The sequence below is a fragment of the Homo sapiens genome, chromosome 17 (genome assembly GCF_000001405.40).
Source record: "Homo sapiens chromosome 17, GRCh38.p14 Primary Assembly".
Classification (NCBI taxonomy): domain Eukaryota; kingdom Metazoa; phylum Chordata; class Mammalia; order Primates; family Hominidae; genus Homo; species Homo sapiens.
Window position 1 is genome coordinate 14,027,052 of NC_000017.11, and position 21,375 is coordinate 14,048,426.

General features: G+C 39.3%; 1 long non-coding RNA gene across 1 annotated transcript in view; it reads right to left on the reverse strand.

The window, feature by feature from the left end:
- Window positions 1–2,240: 2,240 nt before the first annotated feature.
- COX10-DT (COX10 divergent transcript) overlaps window positions 2,241–21,375 on the reverse strand; it is a 40,167-nt gene continuing 21,032 nt past the window's right edge. Inside the window, exons 2-3 of the long non-coding RNA NR_049718.1 lie at window positions 6,889–7,365; window positions 2,241–3,520 (exon numbers count right to left, since the gene is read on the reverse strand). This is a non-coding gene — a long non-coding RNA (COX10 divergent transcript). The remainder of the gene's footprint in view (window positions 3,521–6,888; window positions 7,366–21,375) is intronic.

The window sequence follows — 21,375 nt, forward strand, 5'->3', positions numbered from 1 at the left end:
GAGAAGAGAACTGTGCAGTGAAAACAGCCAATCTTGATGGCAGAGGGAGACTGGTGCTTAGAAGCTCATTTGGTGAGAGAGAATGAATAGAGGAGGCACAGAGATGGGGAACATTTAACTAGTGAGAGAGATGTAAGATGAATGGGAAGAGAAATCTCGCAAAAAGGACACATTCATGCAGATCCTCAAAGAAGAACACGCAGTCACCCCCACATGTAGAAATATACTCAGTTACACATATAAAAACACAGATGCATGGAGAGCAAGCATACACACAGACACGTATCTCTACACATGCACTCATGTGTGCCCAGATACACACACACTAAACATGCAAGACATGAGAGCATTTACACATAGATATGCATCCTCACATGCAAGCAAATGTTACAACCTCACACAGGGACCCACATTCCAGTGTGCACATATCCACCCAGGTACACAGCCATAGAACTGACATACGTACACATCAACGTATAATGTGCACATACAGACAGGCACGCGCAGATATATCTATGCACATAGACACATGTACTCAGTCATACAGATACACACACTCTCTAACACAAAGGTGACCAGTGTAGATGAATATTGTGAGCTCAGTGGCTTCCCAGACCTTCATCTTTTCCCTGCTCTTGTTTCAAAGGTGCTCAGCAGACTCCTGGCGAGGCTGTGTGAGGCAGGGGCAGGACCTTCAGAGTCCTCACAGCTTTGTGAGGCAAAAGTCTGAGTCCAGTCCTGGCCTCTGCCGCTCACCCACCACTGGGCTATTAATGCCCTGTCTGTAGGCGAGAGATTCTGCATAGACTAGTCTTGGGATTTTTTTCTAACTGGCCATTTTTCTCCTTGGCACACCCACTATCCCACTGGTAACGGCACACACTCTGCAAGGGAAACCTGAGAAATGGTTGTGAGTCTCCTCAGACAATAAGCATACCCTCCCACCCACAGCTACCTCAAGTGCCCATCAAATCAGAACCAGAATTATAAATACTTACGACTTTACAGTAATTGGCAACACATATACTATAGTACTTACAGTACCATAAATGCATCTGTTTCTCTGGTGAAGCAATCTCTGAGATGGAACAGTGTTCTGTGTTTGCCAAGGGAGACAGGGCCAATGCCCAGGACACGCAGGACATAGGGGCAGAAAGTGGCATATCGTGGGGGTTTCTGGTCGATCTGCAAGGCCCAGCTTCTCCATGAACAGTGGGCTGTAGTGAGAAGCTTGCCAAGGTATGCATATCGACTGGAGTTGGACTCTCCCCATCCTTAGCCCTGTGGTCCTTTGGCCTCAGCCACAGGTGCTCAGAGTCCTCTCAGGGTGGACAAATGTCTCAGTGTCGTTGGCCTGACCTGATACTACCTGGAGACCCAGGCTGCCGGGCTGGTGAGCTATCTGCTTTCTCAGCCAAAGGGCTCTCGAACCAGCAGCATCAGCTGGTTATAACCACTAAAAAAATCTATATGAAGAGATACTCTTTTAAAAAAAAAACTATATATAAATTGAAATATAATTCTAAAGGAAATGTCCAAACAACCCAAAGGAAGCAGGAAAAAGAAAACAGAAATAATAAGCAGAGACACAAACAGAAAACAAAAAATTATTATGCCCTAACATATCAGTAAATATATTAAATGTAATGATCTAAATACACCAATTAAAAGACACATTGCCAGAGCAGACTTTTTTAAATGATTCAACTATACAGTGTCTAGAAAAAATTCACTGCAAATATAATGATTACAGGCAGGTTGAAAATAAAAAAATAAAAATGATACATCCTGAAAATATTAATCTACAGGGAACAGTCATTATATTATCAGATAAAGTATATTTCAGCACAAAGAAAATGACCAGAGACTGAGAGGAATATTACGTAATGATAAAAGGGTCAATTCACTGAGACATAGTGAGCCTAAATGTTCATGCACCTTTAAACATCAGAGCTGCAAAATAATGTGAAGCTAAAACTAATAGAACTGAAAGGAAAAATAAATAAATCCACAAATACAGTTGGAGACTTCAACACCTCTCAATAATCCAATTAAAGTAGTCCTAGGAGGGAACTAAATGTAACTAAAATGCTCACATTAGAAAAGAGGAAAGGTCTCAAATCAATAACGTATGCTTCCACCTCTAGAACCTAGAAAAAGAAGCACAAAATATACCAAAAGCAAGAAAAAGAAGGAAATAATAAAGATAAAAGTAGAAATCAATGAAACTGAAACCAAATCAATGAGCTGGTTCTTGGAACAAATTGATAAAATTGACAAACTTCTGACAAGATCAACAAAGAAAAAAAGACATAATGGCACAAATTAATATCAGAAATAAAACAGGGATACCATTACAGATTCTGCAGACATCAAAAGGATAATGAAGAATACTAATACAATTCTACAAATATTAATTTGACAACATACAGAAAATTGACCCGTTTCACTGAAAAACACAGATAATTAAAATGATCTTATAAATATTAAGGAAACTGAATATGTAATTTTATAACACACACAAAAAAATCTCCGAGCTCAGATGGTTTTACTTAAGATTTCTACCAAGTGTTTAAAGAATGAATGCTAATTCCATATAATCTTTTTAGGAAAACAGAAGAAACGCTTTCCAATTCATTTTATGAAGCTAGTATTACCCTGATACCAAAACCAGACAAACTATATACAAAACCCAAAAATTTGTTAAAAGGGAAAAAAGAAACTATGGACTAATATCCCTCATGAATATACAGTAATTCACCCTTTCTCCCATCCACTGTTCTGCAGTTTCGCTTTCCTGGGTTTGTTACTCACGGTCAGCCACAGCCTGAAAATATTAAATGGAAAATTCCTGAAATAATTTACGAGCTTTAAACTGCATGCCTTTCTGAGTAGTGTGATGAAATCTTGCATCGTCCTGCTCCATCCCAGCTGGGAGGTAGATCTTCCTCTTTGTCCATCGCATCCAAGCTGTATACTTCACCTGCCCCTTAGTCACTTAGTAGCCAACAGTTATCAGATCTACTGTGGTGGTATTGCAGTTCTTGTGTTCAAATAATGCTTGTTTTACTTCATAATGGCCCCAAAGCACAAGAGTAGTGATATGGTTTGGCTGTGTCCCCAACCAAATCTCATCTTGAATTGTAACTCCCACAATTCCCACATGTCGTGGGAGGAACCTGCTGGGAGGTGATTGAAGTACAGGGGTGCATCTTTCCTGCACTGTTCTTGTAATAGTGAATGAGTCTCACAAGATCTGATGGTTTTCAAAACGGGAGTCTCCCTGTACAAGCTTTCTCTTTGCCAGCTGCCATCCATGTAAGACATGACTTGCTCCTTCTTGCCTTCCACCATGATTGTGAGGCCTCCCCAGCCATGTGGAACTGTAAGTCCAGTACACCTCTTTATTTGGTAAATTTCTCAGTCTCAGGTATGTCTTTATCAGCAGCGTGAAAATGGACTAATACGAGTAGTGATGGTAGCAATTTGGATATGCCCAAGAGAAGCCATAAAGTGCTGCCTTTAAGTGAAAGGGTAAAAGCTTTCAATTTAAGGAAAAAAAAATTCGTATGCTGAGCTTGCTAAGATTTACAGTAAGAAAAAAAATCTATTTGTGAAATTGGCCGGGCGCTGTGGCTCACGCCTGTAATCCCAGCACTTTGGGAGGCCGAGGCTGGCGGATCACGACGTCAGGAGATCGAGAGCATCCTGGCTAACATGGTGAAACCCCGTCTCTACTAAAAATACAAAAAAAATTAGCCAGGCCAGGTGGTGGGTGCCTGTAGTCCCAGCTACTTGGGAGGCTGAGGCAGGAGAATGGCGTGAATCTAGAAGGCCGAGTTTGCCGTGAGCTGAGATTGTACCACTGCACTCCAGCCTGGGTGACAGAGCGAGACTCCGTCAAAAAAAAAAAAAAGACAATTTTTCCCAAATTCACATATAAATTCAATACAATTTCAATAAAAATTTCAGTAGGGTTTTTCGAAGAACTTGACAAGATGATTCTTAAATGCATATGAAAGAATAAAAATTCAAGAATAGGCTAGACAATTGCAAAGAAGAAGGAGGAGAAGGAGGCAGAGAAGGAGGAAAAGAAAAAAGCAGGGTGGTTATCCTTTTGAATATTGATACTACATTATCATGTAAAACTATACTAAACAATGTGATATTGCCACAGGGAATAGAGAGCGTACGAATAAAACCACTTAGATATGTAAATGTGGAATATGACAGAGATAACATCACAAATCACTGGGCAAAGAATGAGAGTCTTCATTAAATGATGCTGAGACATCACCATATAGAAAAAGATAGATTCAAGTATTTATATGAAAGACGGTAAAATTGGGTACTACTTCATAGCATACTCAAAGTTGCCTAAATGTGAAAAGCTAAATTTAAAAAGAATATATAGAAGAATATCTTGATGACATCTGAGTACTGCCATATTACTTATAATGCTAAAAGCATAAACCATATTGAGAAAAGAAAGTATTGAGAATGTAACTACATTAAACTAAATACTTCCATGTATCAAGATGACAACAAAAAGAAGGTCAATAGCTACCATGGGAAGGTGTTTACAACCTATGTAACTCACTTTATTCAGCAGAATGTCATAGAATTCGTTTAAAATCAGACAAAATGAAAATCCAAGAAAAAAATAAGCATAAATAGATAACAAGCATATGAAAAGATGCTCTTACCTCTCTAGCAATCAAAGAAGAGTGCAAATGAGAATAATGAAATACCACCTCACATCAGTCAGATTAGCAAAAATCAGCGAACTCAATGATACAAAGAATTGATGGAGTTAGCGAGAAATGGAAAACTTATACAGTGCTGGCAGAACTGCAAATTGGTACAATTACTTTGAAGAGCAATTTTGGAATAACTAAAAAAAAAATGTTAATATGAGTAATCTACCAAGCAGAAATTTGGCTTCTAGATGTTTACCAGAGAGTAAATGCACAAGGATGTATATTCAAGACTATTCATTGCAACATTTTTCATAATAGCAAAATAACTGGAAAAAGACCCCATAAATGTTATAAGATTATATACTTTTTAAAAAGGAGAGAAATCCTATGTATAGCTTTTTATGGTTGCATACATGTTTAGAGAAAGTATATAATGATACACAGCAATATCCATATAGCAATGGGATACGGCAAAGGGCTCCAGGGCCAGATTGCCTGTGTTGGAATCCTGGCACACCAGCTGTGTGGCCTTGGACAAGCTGCTTAACCAATTTTTTTCTCAACCTCTCATCTATAAAATGAAGGATAATAATAGTATCTATGTCATATGTCTGCGGTGGACATTTAAGGAGTTAATGTATGTAAAGTGCTTAGAATACTGCCTGGCATACAGCAAATTTGCGGTTTTTATTACCATCATTATCATCATCATTGTTGCTGTCATCAACATCATCATCAATACAATGGTTACCTCTGGGAAGTACGGGGGAAGGATAGAGAGAAATCTACAGCTTTATGTATAAGTAAATATGCCTACATATTAACATATATTAAATTTGAGTTTAATATGAATATTGTTAGGTGTATTTTAGTATATGGCTATTGATGTCATATAACTGGGATTTTGCTGTGTGTTGCAGATAGTTCATATATTAAAAGTGTTTTTTATGTAAAAACATGAATATTCTGTGAAATATTATGGAAAAATGTTTAAACTCTATTATGGATTGAGTGACTGTAAGATGAAGGTATTCTAGGAACACATTTTTGGACAAATACTTGACAGCTAGCTAGCAACAACCATGTTACAACTGCAAGTTACAAGTTAATATTTGAAAAAAGAAAAACCAGAGAAGTTAAAAGTATTTCTTTTTAGGCACATTTGAGATCCAAAGTAGCAGGAAAAAGGAGAGAAATGCAGTTTCTAGGGAGGACTTAAACACAGAGGACCTGGAGATGCCACAGAAATACTGTTAGTTGATATAAGTATTAGAAAAATATATTCCCTGAGAAAACTATTACAATATCCTGCAGAACATTTATTCATTTTAAAATAAATATTTATTGTTCTTGAATTATGTATGCATTTATGTTTTCTGTTTGTCTTTTTGCCTGAGGCAGACTTCAGCTATATTTTAAAGAGAAACATAAAGGAAACTTTTATATTCTTTATGTGCATATACCATAATGAAGGCTTTTGTGGCTGTATTCCTAGAAAGACGATTCTCTGTCCTGGTGCTTTCAGTGGCAAGTGAAAATAGCCATCGATACCTTGCTTAAACAATAGAGCTTCATTGTTCGCAATCCTAAGAAGTCTGGAAGGAAGCCATCCTAGGGTTTGTTCAGCTGCTCAACAACACCCACAAGACTCAGGCTTCTTCTGACTGCTTGTTTGGCCCTCCTGTGTGTTGGGATGTTTTGCCCAAGGTCATGAGATAGCTGCAGCAACACTAAGCATCATGTCTTCCCACAGCCACGTTCAAAGGCAGAAACAAATGGGGGAGCAGAACCCTTGCTTACCTCCTGTTTTATCAGGCAGAAGAATCTTTCCCAGATGCCCCTCAAGAGAACTTCTCTTCCACCACCTTGGTGACCAGAACTGAGTCACGTGGCCATCCCTAAATGGTTCACTGGCAAATGGAATTGGGATTGTCATGACTTTGCGAGGCTCATCACGAATTTGTCTCCTAGGACAAATTCTGGCCTATTGCCACCTGTATCTGAACTAAACCAGGGTTGTATTATCAAGGAGAAAGAGCCACAAAGAGGAACACAGGTGAGTCTTACCAAATGGAAAAAGCAAAGGCAGAAAACAGAGAAAACACAGAATCATGTATTACCTACTCAGTTTTCTCTGATGAGATATTTCACTTGTGGCAGACACTATTGGCTGTTGGGAATTACCTACCTCTTTCCTGACAGGAGTACCAGATTTGTTTATATATTGGATGGCCAAGTGTTTTCCAAAGGACTCACCTAGTGGTGAATCTTAGTTGCTCTGTACCCATTGCGGTAAGTCCATCCCTGTTGCCAGCAACTGCTTCAGGAATGAGAAACGGAATGTGAAGAGAAATCTTCGGTGGAGCCTCCAGAAAGGGGCAGGAGAGAGGAGACCCTCTCCCTGGTCATGGAGCATTGTGGTGTAAGGGTGTCTTTACTGTCACTGCTGCTGCCATGGTGCAAGCCTGAAGGGTGCAGAGCTTTAGCCACCATAGTGAAAATGGGTCCTGGGTGATACTGTTGAGCTCTAGATTAATTAGCCGTTTAACCACTCGACTCCCAAACTTCTTGGAATGTGAAATAATCATTTCTCTTCTTGGCTTAGGCCATTTTTGTTTGATTTTTCTGTTGCTTGCAGTCAAATCATCCTGATGCCATACTCACACTGAAATGTATAAAGCAAGAAATTTAGTGAGAGATTTTAAAAATCTAGATAAGGAGCTAACAGAAACACATCTGGCTGCTTTAAACTGGTTGAATCCACATGTTCAGAATAATCAAGTCCCACAATATTTAAAGAAAACCTTTTATTAAAGGTGTTCTATGTATAGGACTTTTCTGTGCCCCATGATGAGACAGAGACTGAGAGGGCATAGGGATACAAAAACGTACAAAATGCATGATCCTTAAATATAAGAAGTTTGTAATACAGTTGAGGAGAACATTGACAGTAAAAATCCTAAATGACACATCAGTTTTAAGGTAATCCTACTATTTTCAAGGATGGCACCTATTATCAACCAAGTAACAAATTGTTCTATCATATCATAATGCATCAAATGTTAGAATCCTTCACCACACAAAAATCACTGGGTCCTAAAGTATACAAGACAAATCTTTAAATTCGTTAGATCGGTCCTTCTTTTGAAATAGCTGCTGACAGCTGTAATCCCAGCACTTTGGGAGGCCAAGACGGGTGGATCACGAGGTCAGGAGATTGAGACCATCCTGGCTAACATGGTGAAAACCCATCTCTACTAAAAATACAAAAAATTAGCTGGGCGTGGTGGTGGGCACCTGTAGTCCCAGCTACTCGGGAGGCTGAGGCAGGAGAATGGCGTGAACCCGGGAGGTGGAGCTTGCAGTGAGCCGAGATCCTGCCACTGCACTCCAGCCTGGGCGACAGAGTGAGACTCTGTCTCAAAAAAAAAAAAAAAGAAAAAAGAAACAGCTGCTGACATCTGAATAGATTTACTTTACCCCTAAGCAAACTGAAAATTCATAAGACATATGTCCAATTTTTCACTGAGGCATTTTACCATTTATGAACAATCATAGACTCATTCATTTAGTAGAGTCTAAATTAATGAGACTTCACTGTATTTGCATTTGAGTATGGTGATTTCCAATTTGATGGTTTATCTTTAAATTTGTGGATGAAAATAAAACTAACAGAGATGGCAGAGAGCAGGCTGACCTGCTCACACTTGATGTATACGTTTTGGTATTTGTGGAGAAAGTGCCCAAGGCAAGAAAGACTCTAAGTAGTGATGGGTGCATTCTGCCTTCCTGGGGACCCTGAAGGAGATGAAGAGTGCTAAGCCTTGGCAGGAAGGCAGCAACCCAGATATGAAATACTTGAGTTCTGAATATGTCTACCAGAGCATATATTTATCAAAATTCCATTCTAGACCATAAAGCAGATGCATCAATAAATAAAGCAGTAGCTCTCATTAGCTAAGTCAGGTTTGTTTCGTATTTTGTTGTAGTGACTTCTAAATAAACTTTGGTTGTAGTGTGAGTGATTTAGCAGCCCTGGCTTTATTTTAATTTTAAAATATTTAATTGACAAAATATTATATATATTCAAGGTGTACAATGTGATGATTTGGTATGCATATACATTGTGTGCTGACTACCACAAATTAGTTAACACATCCATTACCACCCATAGTTACGTGTGTGTGTATGAGAGAAAAAGAGAGAGACGAGGTCGCTTAAAATCTGCTCGCTTACAATCTTCATGTAAACAATACAGTATTATTAACTATAATCACCATGCTGTACATTAGATCCCCAGAGCTTACTTGTCTTATAACTGAAAGTTTGTACTCTTTGAGCATCTCCCCATTTCTCCCACTCTCCAGCATCAAGGGATGAGAGGGTGTTTCAATTTCTAAAACATTCTCTTCATTAGAATGACTACTATCTCTATTAGTCCATTCTTGCATTGCTATATAGAAATACGTGAGACTGGGCCGGGAGCGGTGGCTCACACCTGTAATCCCAGCACTTTGGGAGGCCAAGGCGGATGGATCATGAGGTCAAGAGATCGAGATCATCCTGGCCAACATGGTGAAACCCCGTCTCTACTAAAAACACAAAAATTAGCTGGGCATGGTGGCGGGCACCTGTAGTCCCAGCTACTCAGGAGGCTGAAGCAGGAGAATCACTTGAACTCGGGAGGTGGAGGTTGCAGTGAGCAGAGATGGCACCATTGCACTCCAGCAAAAAAAAGAAAAAAAAAAGAAAAGAAAAAAAAGAAATAACTGAGACTGGGTAATTTATAAAGAAAAGAGGTTTCACTGGCTCACGGTTCTTCAAGCTGTACAGGAAGCATAGCAGTTTCTGCTTCTAGGGAGGGGGCACTCAGGAAGTTTCCAATCATGGCAGAAGGGAAAGTGGGAGTGAGGCACTTCACAGGGCTGGAGAAGGAGGAAGAGAGAGAGTGGGAAGATGCCACACACTTTTAAACAACCAGAACTCAGGATAGCTCACTCACTCACTGTCAATGAGAACTGCACTGAGGGGCCTGTGCTAAACCATTCATGAGAAACTGCCCCCATGATCCAACCACCTCCCATCAGGCCCCACCTCCAAGGTTGAGGTTACAATTGAACATGAGATTTGGGTGGGGACACGGATCCAAACCATATCACTGTAAGGGGTCTCTGCCCTCCACTTCTCATGGAATCCTGCAATCTTGGAGGAGAGCATTACTCCATTGATTGTTAAATGAGCCTGTTTTAGTGTCAAGGTCATGAAAGACAAGAAATGAAGCTGTCCCATATTGGAGGTGACTGAAGAGGTGTGATAACTTAGTGCAATGTGGTGTATCCTGGATTGAATCCTAGAGTAGAAAAAGGACATTAATGGAAAGACTGAGAAACCCCAAATAAATTCTGCAGTTCAGTTCATAGTATTACACCATGTTAATTTCTTAGTTTGGATTAATGTATCATGGCTACCTAAGACGCAACCGTAGGATGCAGAGCATACAAAAACACTCTGAATATCTTTACAGTAAATTTTTATTTTTTTTAGACATTTAAATTTACCACATCAGCCTAAATTAAACTTTTTAAAAGTAAAACACTTTTAATAAATTATCTTCTGTGTGACAGAAGATACAATGTGTTTTTCTCCAGAGAAACTGATGATGTTTGCAGAGTGATTATTGGGTATAGACCCTACTTTGAAGAAATTCATGCAGGTTGCTTGACTTTATTTCAAGGTAAATATAATGATCACTATATAGGCTATGTGGACATAGCTCATTTTCTCAGGTGAGATTTATGGAAGTGAGAAAAAGGTTAAAGTATACACTGGCAAGTCTGCTACTCATTACCCACTTGTCAGTTTGTTTACCAGCTGTGTTCTGAGAAAGAACTAGAGTTCTAGGAAGTTAAGAGGCAGGCCAAGGAGGTTACTGGGAAGTGAGAGTGTGGATCTTGGGTTTCCAGCCTTGTGTACGTAACAGCTATCCTTCAACCTATACTTTGGAGATATTTTCTGCATAGGATTTCATTTGGTTAAAATGTTGTATTGCATGGGTTTGTCCATGGGGGTGTTCAGAGGTTCTCTTTGTATTTTTAAACTATTCATATGGAAAATGTCAAATATCAACAAAAAATAGAGAAAATAGTTCAGTGAATCCTCATGTACTGATCAACCAGCTTCAATAATGATCAACTCGTGTCCATTCTTGTTTCATCTATACCATAATCACTCCCCCAGCAACAGCTTTCACGTGATTATTTTGCAGTAAATCCCAGACATTACATCATTTTATCTGTAAATATTTCTTTAAGTGATATCATTTTTGTAAAAAACATAACCACAATATCCTTATCATACCTTAAAAAATGAAAAATAGTGCCTCATCAAATTTAAATTTCCATAGTTACTCATAAGGTTTTTTTTTTATAGTTTGTTTAAACAAGATCCATGCCTTGTTTTTGGTTTTTATATCTCTTAATTGTCATATAATCTAAAGGTCCTGCCTTTTGGGATGGTTTGTTCATTCTGCAGAGCTTTCCAGTTTCTGGGTTTTGCTGATTAGGTCCTTGTGGTATCATTTAACACATTCTTCTGTCTCTAGGCTTTTCTTCTGCTGACTGTTCTGTAAACATTCTTTTCCATGCTGGTCTCTGTTTTGGCACCAGTGGTGACCTCATTCACTGCCACGGCTTTATTCCAGCCCACTTGAGATATGCACACCCAATTGCTGGGTAGAAACCACCATTTAAGTAGCCCACAGTCACCTCCAATTTCAAAAAGTCTGTCTAAAACAGAGGGCACTGTCTTCTCTCCCTTCATCTACCAAGACTTCATCCCTCCAGTGTTCCTTCTCCTCAGGGAACGGAACCACATTCTGCACCAAGGTCCATGCCAGGAACATGGGCTCCATCTCTGACACCTTTTTCTTCTGCACCCCCTACATCCAATCCATTCCAATCCCTGTTAATTCTCCCAGAACCATCTAACCTGTCCACTTCTCTCCATGTCCAAGGCCAGCAATCTTGTTGATGCCACTAGTATCTCTAATCCTGGATTGTTTTAGCAGCATCCTAACTAGTTTTCCCGTCACAATTCCTGCGTTATTTGAAATTATTTTTTCATTCTGCATGTAGAATGGTCTCTTGAAAATAAACCTGATTGGGCCGGGCGTGGTGGCTCATATCTGTAATTCCAGCACTTTGGGAGGGTGAGGCAAGTGGATCACCTGAGGTCAGGAGGTCAAGACCAGTCTGGCCAACATGGTGAAACCCCTTGTCTACTAAAAATACAAAAATTAGCCAGGCGTGGTGGTGGGCACGGGTAGTCCAGCTACTCAGGAGGCTGAGGCAGGAGAATCACTTGAACCCAGGAGGTGGAGGTTGCAGTGAGCTGAGATTGTGCCATTGCACTCCAGCCTGGGCAACAAAGTCAGACTCCATTTCAAAAAAAAAAAAAGAAAGAAAATAAATCTGATCATGTTGCTCTCCTATTTAGAATATTCAATGGCTCTCTATTGCTCTGAGAATAAAAGCTAAATTGTTAAACACAGAAAGCCCTTTAGGATCTGAACCCTGCTTACTTTTCCAAATTCATTTCTCCCCTCCTTTCCCCCTACTTTCTATCCTGCACCCCAGTCATCAGAGACTTCTCCTGTATCTCCAAATGTGCCTCCAAGCTCTCATGCCTTTCTCCATTGCCCTCATTCCTTTCCCCCCTCACTTGCTTAAACCTTACTACTTGTGTGTGGACTTCTTCTGTTATGTGCCTTCGGATCCCCTCAGTGTAACCACCCAAGGACTGTTTTAGTTATTCCTCCAGTATGTTCTCACACACCTGGATTTAGCCCTAATCATAGCACTGCTTGTATCCCACTGCTTGTATGTGTATGTAGCAGTGCCTACTGTGTGCTAAGCTTTGGTTAGGACCTGAGTATATGCAAAGAACACAACGTGCTTCCAACTCTTAAGGAGATTACTGTGTAGCATTTAATTAATGAATTGGCTGAATTGATAAGGAAATGTGATGGTTGATTTTATGTGTCAACTTGACTGGGTTAGGGATACCTAGATAACTAGTAAAAATATTATTCCTGGGTGTGTCTGTGAGGTTGTTTCTAGAAGACATTAGCATTTGAATCCTTGGACTGAGTAAAGATTGCACTCACCAATGTGGGTGGGCATCGTTCAACCCATTAAGGGCCTGGATAGAATAATACAGTGGAGGAGCAATGCATTTGCTTTCTCTTCTAGAGCTGGGACATCTATCTTCTCCTGCCCGTGGACATCAGAGCTCCAAGTTCTTGGAACTTTGGACTCTGGAACTTACAGTGCCCCCCACCTCCTTCTCAGGCTTTTGACCTCAGACTGAAAATTACAGAATTGGCTTCCCTGGTTCTCTGGGCTTTGAACTCAACACTCATTTACATAATTGGCTTTCCTGATTCTCCAACTTGCAGATGATGTATCATGGGACTTCTTGGCTTCCATAATCTTATGAACCAATTTCCCTAATAAATCTCTTCTTATATATCTCTCTACATATATATCCTATTGGTTCTGTTTCTCTGGAGAAACCAGACTAATACAAGGAATAAATGAATGATTCAATCAATTAACCAATGAGTAAAAATGCTCATGTAAATGCAACCTAGGTCTGAATAGATTGAAGGTAAACAAGATAATAATTCTGATTTTCAAAAACTTTTATCAAGCCGGGCACGGTGGCTCACGCCTGTCATCCCAGCACTTTGGGAGGCCGAAGCGGGCTGATCACCTGAGGTCAGGAGTTCGAGACCAGCCCGGCCAACATGGTGAAACGCTCTATTAAAAATACAAAAATTAGCCACGTGTGGTAGTGCATGCCTGTAATCCCAGCTACTCGGAAGGCTGAGGCAGGAGAATCACTTGAACCCGGGAGGCAGAGGTTGCAGTGAGCCCAGATTGCACCATTGCACTCCACCCTGGGGGACAAGAGTGAATCTCTGTCTTAAAACAAACAAATAAACAAACTAAAAAACTTTTATCAGCAGAAGTCCTTTTGTCTTTTAATATAAATTACTCAGATTCATTCAGTAACAAATCCATTATTCACTTAATTTTGCTTGACAGGGCTTTCTTAAATGTGGCAAAACAAATTTATATTCAAAGCATTTCCCACATAAAAATGATGAAGTTATAATACAGCACATAAAACTTTGTGATAAAGCTATTGGTTAACAGGCTTCTCATATTTAATAACTCCTTTGTAAATACAGGAGATAAATATTTTTGAAGACATTCTGGAAACAATTTCAGTAAAAAGTTAGATACAATATTACATATTTTTCTTTCAAAATACCAAAGTGTAGAATAGTCCCCCTTCTTTGTAAGATATACCACTAATATGAAGCTTCCATGACTGTTTATGACATATATCTCTGTATCAAAGAAAACCTGCTATGACTCTTTTTGAAACTATTAGTTGGTACACATTTAAAAAAATTTATGCCAGGCATGATGGCTCAAACCTGTAATCATAGCACTTTGGGATGCCAGGTTGGGCAGGTCTCTTTTTTTTTTTTTTTTTTTTGAGATGGAGTTTTGCTCTTGTTGCCCAGGCAGGAGTGCAATGGCACAATCTCGGCTCACTGCAACCTCCACCTCCTGGGATGAAGTGATCCTCCTGCCTCAGCCTCCCTAGCTGGGATTACAGGCATGTGCCACCATGCCCGGCTAATTTTGTATTTTTAGTAGAGTCAGGGTTTCTCCATGTTGGTTAGGCTGGTCTTGAACTCCTCACCTCAGGTGATCCGCCCGCCTCAGCCTCCCAACGTGCTGGGATTACAGATATGAACCACCGCACCCGACTGGGCAGATTTCTTGAGCCCTGGAGTTCGAGAGCAGATTGGGCAACATGGCAAAACTACATCTCTATAAAAAAATTCCCTAATAAATTTCTTCTTATATATATCTCTCTCTCTATATATATTCTATTGGTTCTGTTTCTCTGGAGAACCCAGGCTAATACAAGGAGTAAATGAATAAATGAACAAATAAATGAATCGATCAATGTAAATTCAACCTAGGTTTGAATAGACTAGGTTGCATTTAACCAGGCATGGTGGCACACACCTGTCATCCCAGCTACTTGGGAGGCTGAGTTGGGAGGATCAGTTGAGTGTGAGAGGTCAAGGCTGCAGTGAGCTATGATCATGCCATTGCACTCCAGCCTGGGTGACACTGCAAGATCCTGTCTCAAAAAAAAAAGAAAATTTAGTCCTAAAACAAGTCCATACTGCTAATATTTATACTGTTCTCCTTTAACAGACGGACTTGGGTCCTCTTTTGATTTGTCAATAATGCGACAAAGAAATTCTAGTTGCCTTTGTTGACATCCCTAAAGTAAGAGTCTTCCCACCAGCCCCTACCATGACCCCTCCCCTGCATTGTGGCTTCTCTGTGGCTCAATGTAATATAAGGGAGAGACCAGCATGGTCTGCAGACCTCAGAAAACAACATTACATCATCATGATACAAGAAAGTGAGATGATGGTGTGATTTTTCAAACTCAGTTCCAAGGAATAAACATCAAAGAATTATGCAGGTTATTAAGTCCCATCAAGGAAAAGCATCCTTCACTAGCTCCCTGCCAGCTCATCCCCTTTTACTTACCTAAAATGCATGTTCCATAAAATTACTATCGGGAGAACTAGGAGAAGCAAAGCTGCAAACTCTCCATTAAGCCCCAGTTTCTGAGAGCGTATCCATAAGCAATTCTATTAAGGATATCAGAGGCCCTCAACGTGTACTGGAGAGTCAGCACTTGAAAACCAACATCTAAGCAAGGTTCTTCCAGATTCTCAGCTTGAGCAATAACAAGAATAGCTACAAGCAGCTGAGCAAAGTCTAGCATCATTGGGAAAAACCTACACAGCAAATAAGAAAACGTAAAGCAAGCTTGTTCTCATTAATTAGTCATAGCCAAATAAAGAGTAGAGGTTTCTAAAATATGAGTTGGGTTGAAATCTTAATTCAATGATTCTCATTGTACCTAAGGTAATAAATTTACCTTGGAGTACAGCTTAATCCACATCCTATTAATTATGACACATAATTTTGAAATTGCCATTACTTTTTAATCTTTGCCCTGGGTTATTTAGGGAAATTTTGAATTGCCAAGTAGGCTTAATTTTTATATTTGTACACTTGTGTCAAAACTTTCAAGTTTTATTGCATTTTTTGCTGGCATAATTTCTTAGTTTAGGATTTTATTGAAATTTTTATAACTACTAATATGAATACGTGTAAATGTTTTATTATATGTAGTCTCTTTCAAGAATTAGTTTATGTTGCTTCTTGACCATGGTAACAATGATTATTTAAATCCTACGTATTTTTTACTGCTTACAAGATCCATCACCATTTCTTTTATGCAGTGTTTTTATAGTATTGAATTCTTAGCTATATTTCTAGTGAGGAGGAAGTTTTCAGATAATTTTTTTTCACAATTGACATATATGGGCGCATTTTCTGAGTCCCAAAGTGTATCTAGGAATGTCTCTGTTACATTTGCACATTGAACAATACTGACTTAATATAAAATACTTGCATCATATTCTTTCCAGCAAAATTATATTGAAATTGTTTCCTTTTTCAGGCATTTATTTTTGTGGTGAAAAAAAAGTATATTTTTTTCTTTATCTTCAAATTCAGTTATTTTTATTGTTTTTCTGAAGTTAATTTTTCTTTTATTTAAATATCTAAGTCCTTCTCCTATTAAAAGAAAATTATGTTTTAAGTTCTTTCATTATTGCTTCTCTTTGCCCTCTTGGTTTTTCCACCTGGAAATACTTTTTTTGTGTGTATATGAGGTCTCCTGATTTTCTCTTCAGGCAATCCCTTTTTCATATATATGTATATGTGTGTGTGTGTGTATTTAAACTAATAGACTTTTCTTTTCATTTTTAGCCATTTTAGATTTACAGGAAAAAAAGGAGTGAAAAGGGCAGAGAGTTCCCCTATGTCCCCCTTTTCCCCCTTTCAATTTTCCCTAATATTAACATCTGGTGTTAGTATGGCACATTTGTTACAATCAATAAAGCAATATCAATACATTAATATTATCAACTAAAGTTTATAGTTTACCTTAGGGTTCACTCTGTGTTATATTTTCTATGAGTCTTAAATGTATAAGGACATATCCATCATTACAGTAACCTACAGAATAAGAGTTTCAATGTCTTAAAAATTCTCTGTGCTGTATTTCTTCTTTCCTCTCTTCTACCTCAAACCCCAAGCAACCACTGATCTTCTTACTGTCTCCATAATTTTACTTTTTCTAGAATGTCATATACTTGGTATCAGGTTGGTGACTTTGTAAGGTTCACTTCTTTCACTTAGCAATATGGATTTATTTCCTCTATGTCTTTTCATAGCTTGATTAATTATGTCTTTTTATTGCTCAATGGTATTCCATTTTATGGATATATCACAGTTTGTTTATCCATTCATCTATTTAAGGACATCTTGGTTGCTCCCAAATAACGGCAATTGTGGATAAAGTCGCTGTAAACATTTGTGTACAGGTTTTTGTGTGGATGTAAGTTTTTAACACATTTGGGTAAATATTAAGGAGCATGATTGCTGGATCATATGGTAAAATGTATGTTTAGTTTTGTTGGAAACTGTCAAATTTTCTTCCAAAGTGATTGTACCATTTTGGCTTTCCCACCAGCAACGAATGAGAGCTCCTGTTGCTCCACATTCTCACCAGCATTTGGTGTTGTCAGTGTTTTGGATTTGGTCATTCTAATAGATGTGTAGTGGTGTTGCATTGTTGTTTCAATGTGCAATTCCACAGTGACATATAGTGTGGATCTTTTTATATGCTCATTTACCATCTGTATATTTTCTTAGGTGAGGTGTTTGTTCAAATCTTTTGTCCACTTTTTAAATTGGATTGTTTTCTGATTGTTGAGTTTGAAGAGCTCTTTATATATATTCAATACCAGTCTTTGTCTGATTTGTGTTTTGCAAAGATTTTTTCCTGTTGTGTGGCTTATCTTTCCATCCTTTTAACTGTCTTTTGCAGGGAAGAAGCTTTTAATTTTAATGAGGTCCAACTTATCTTTTGTTTTCTTTTATGAATCATGTTTCCGGTGTTGTATCTAAAAAGTCATTCTGAAACTTAAGGTCACCTGCATTTTCTCCTGTTTTATTCTCAGAGTTTTATAGTTTTGTATTCTACACTTAAGTCTATGATCCCTTTTGAGTCAATTTTTGTGAAAAGTGTAAGATCTGTGTCTAGATTCACTTTTTTGCATGTGGATGTCCAGTTGTTCTAGCACCATTTCTTATATTTTTAGAATAATTTTCTCCAGTTATCCTGTCTCTCAGATCTGAAAGAACTTGTTGAACTTTTCCTCCCAGTCACTGATTTGACTTTCTATATTCTCTAGTTCTATGTTCCCTGATTCTATTGACATTTTATTGATAGCTTCTAATTCATTATTAGCTTTTTACCTGATTGTTTCCTTAGCTCAGATTGTTTTGATGAATAAGCAATGACCTCTCCAATATGTTTCGAAAATATGAACAAAAGGGTTTTGAATTTAAACATTTATACATAAATTAAATGGACATTAATTCTGGTGAAATAGTCTGTTTACCTCTGTTGTTCTGCCACACATATTAATAGTAAAATATATGATATTTAATGTTCAAAGGTATTCCAGTTTGGAGAAGAAATTATATAATCAATCTCTATAAAATGATAAAACTGAATTATTTTTCTGTATGGTTCAGCTGGGCCTTGTTCTTATATGTGTCCCTACAAAGTTTTTATAGATAAAAGAAATTGATAATTATTCTTTGTTGTTTTTCTCTGTGCCCTACACACACAGCTCAATTCCTTACAAACATGCTGTTTATTTAACCCTCACGACAACTCTACAAGTGAGAATTATCATTATCCCCATTTCACTGATGCAAAAACTGATGCCCAGAGTTTGAGAATGAGGTTAGGGGAGAGTTCTGTGCTTTTCCTCTTTCATTACTATGCATGAGCCTGGAGGTAGGAAAGCGTTGTTTCTTTCTCTTTGCTTCTTTGTTTTATTGGGTGGGTGGGATGGGGGCTGGGGGTCAAAGGGAAAGGCCTTTGGCCCACGCCGGCATCTGGCTCCCCATCTGTGGAATATCTGGGGTGGCAGTGGGGTAGATAATGAGTGACAGCAGAGGCGGATTCCTCTTTTTAAGAGGCTGAGGGCCAGGCGCAGTGGTTCATGCCTATAATCCCAGCATTTTGGGATGCCAAGGCGGGTGGATTGCTTGAGCCCTGGAGTTTGAGACTAGCCTGGGCATATGGTGAAACCCTGTCTCTACAAAAAATTAAAAAAAAAAAAATAGGCAGGCATGATGGCACACACCTGTGGTCTCAGCTACCTGGGAGGCTGAGGCGGGAGGATCACTTAGCCTGGGAAGTCAAGTCTGCAGTGAGCCATGATTGTGCCATTGCACTCCAGCCTGGGGAACAGAGAGAGACCTCTCTCTCTCTCTCTCTCTCTCTCTCTCTCTCTCACACACACACACACACACACACACACACACACACACACACAAAAGAGGCTGAGGGTGACTCCTTCTATAGACAGAGCAGCCAAGCTAGAGACCTACCAGCCTAGTGAAGCTACCTACAAAGCCTACTCATTAGCTGAAATCCTGACTTTGAGAGCTGCCGACATTTTTAGGACTATGACATGGTGCAGGAAAAACGCAAAGCCCAAAGCCTCGACCAAGCTGGAGAGATGGAACACACTGGACACACTGATCTCCCGGACTTGTTAAACACTCAATAGACTGAGAGACTGGATACAATGGCCACACCCCAGATACACGAACGTAACCAGAGATTGGCCCAGCCCATGCTTATTTTAGACCCAGTGATGAGCAAAATTAACTAAGCCCTGAACACACGGAATCTCCCAAACACACAACAGGCCTGACGCAGGATCTACTTCGTATACTCAGAGCAGTGTTGACACACCACCATCTCAGACCCGCTAGCCATCTAGTTCATGTTGACAACCCGAGACCCACAGACTGCTTCCCGGCACCATAAGAGATCTTGCCCACTGGAGCTAGAGTGGGGAAGATTGGGAAGGAGGCCAATTTGAGATGACCTGGAGTCTCCAGCACCGTACCTTTGTCCTTTTTCCAGCCATATAAAACCCTGCTACTAAAAGTGTGGTCCACGGACCGGGAGACTTGATATCACCCAGATGTTTGTTAGAAATGCAAAAACTTAGCCCCACCTCTGACCTACTGAGTTAAAATCTGCATTTAATACGTTCCCCAAGGACTCATACGCACCTTAAAGAATGAGCAACACTAATACAAATTCTTAAATATGCTACCGGAAGTTTGAGCTGGGCATGATTTTTATAGGATTGTGCAGGATTGTAGCCAAAGAACAGGCAAACATCCATTGTCTGTGTAAAAACATGCTTGTTAACGTATAAATGTCATTATGAACAGGTACTCTCAACAAGTAGGGAGTGATAATTTATAGGTAGTGGTTTGAAAGCTTTATTTTCTTAATCTTTCAAAATACAAACTATTATATTATATATAAAAGATTGGGATATCTACATACTCCTTTGAACCTAATCCAGTGCCAACCAGAATTTATAAAAAGCCATATATGCTGCTGAGTTAGTTACAGGGATAAACGTTTGGCAGAATCTGCCTAGTCTCCCTCAAAATCTGGTATAATCACAGCCAGGTACTCACTTCTTTCTCGCTGGAGCTAATTGTAATTCCTGAGAAGATCAAGATTGTTAATTATGTTTACAATAAAATATATGAAAAACAAATGAAATATGCTACAATTTTATAAACAATTCCTAGAAGCTGCTAGAATGGCTTAGGTTTCCAGGTGTGTCTCATTTCTCGCAGCTACCCATCTCCATGAGGACACTTCTATGCCAATTGCTTAATCTGGTCCCCTTATTTTGAACTATTGACTGCGTGAGTGCTGATTTGTCTTGTTTGCTCCTCCTATCACAGGGATAATCTGTGTTTGTCCGGCATTGAAAGTTGAGATGGGTTCTGCCGAGATTGTTTGCATTCCCTTTCAAACTGTTCAGATCCAGATGAAGGGAAAAGGGAAGAGTTTATATTTGTGTCCTTTTTCTTTGCCTGATTAGAATTCCAACTGCCTCTAAGGCCTAGGATGTGAGCAGTGATCTCCCCTTCCCCCTACAACATACACACATTAAGGCAACAGCCAGGTGACTCTGGGCTGTTGGTCTCAGAGAAGTGATGTATTAGCAAAAAAGAAAGAAAAAAGGCATCTCTTTCTAGGTATTGGGCTTCTAATGCCTATATTCCCCAAACATAGATTTTGGAGAAAATGTCCTTCCTTGTGATTAGAGAAGCAATGAGATTTTAGGTGAGGGATGGCAATTCCCACCCCCAAGGCTCCAACTCTCAACTTTCCTGCAACAACCACCACCAGCAAGAAAAGGAGGCCATTCTCTTGGCACAAGGTCCTTCTGCTCACCAACCAGCCTGCATAGCCATATGCATCCACAGGGGGCATTATTTTCTGCTGGGACCATCCAGCTCTGGTGTCCCTTTTTTCCTTCCTTCCTTCCTTCCTTCCTTCCTTCCTTCCTTCCTTCCTTCCTACCTTCCTTCCT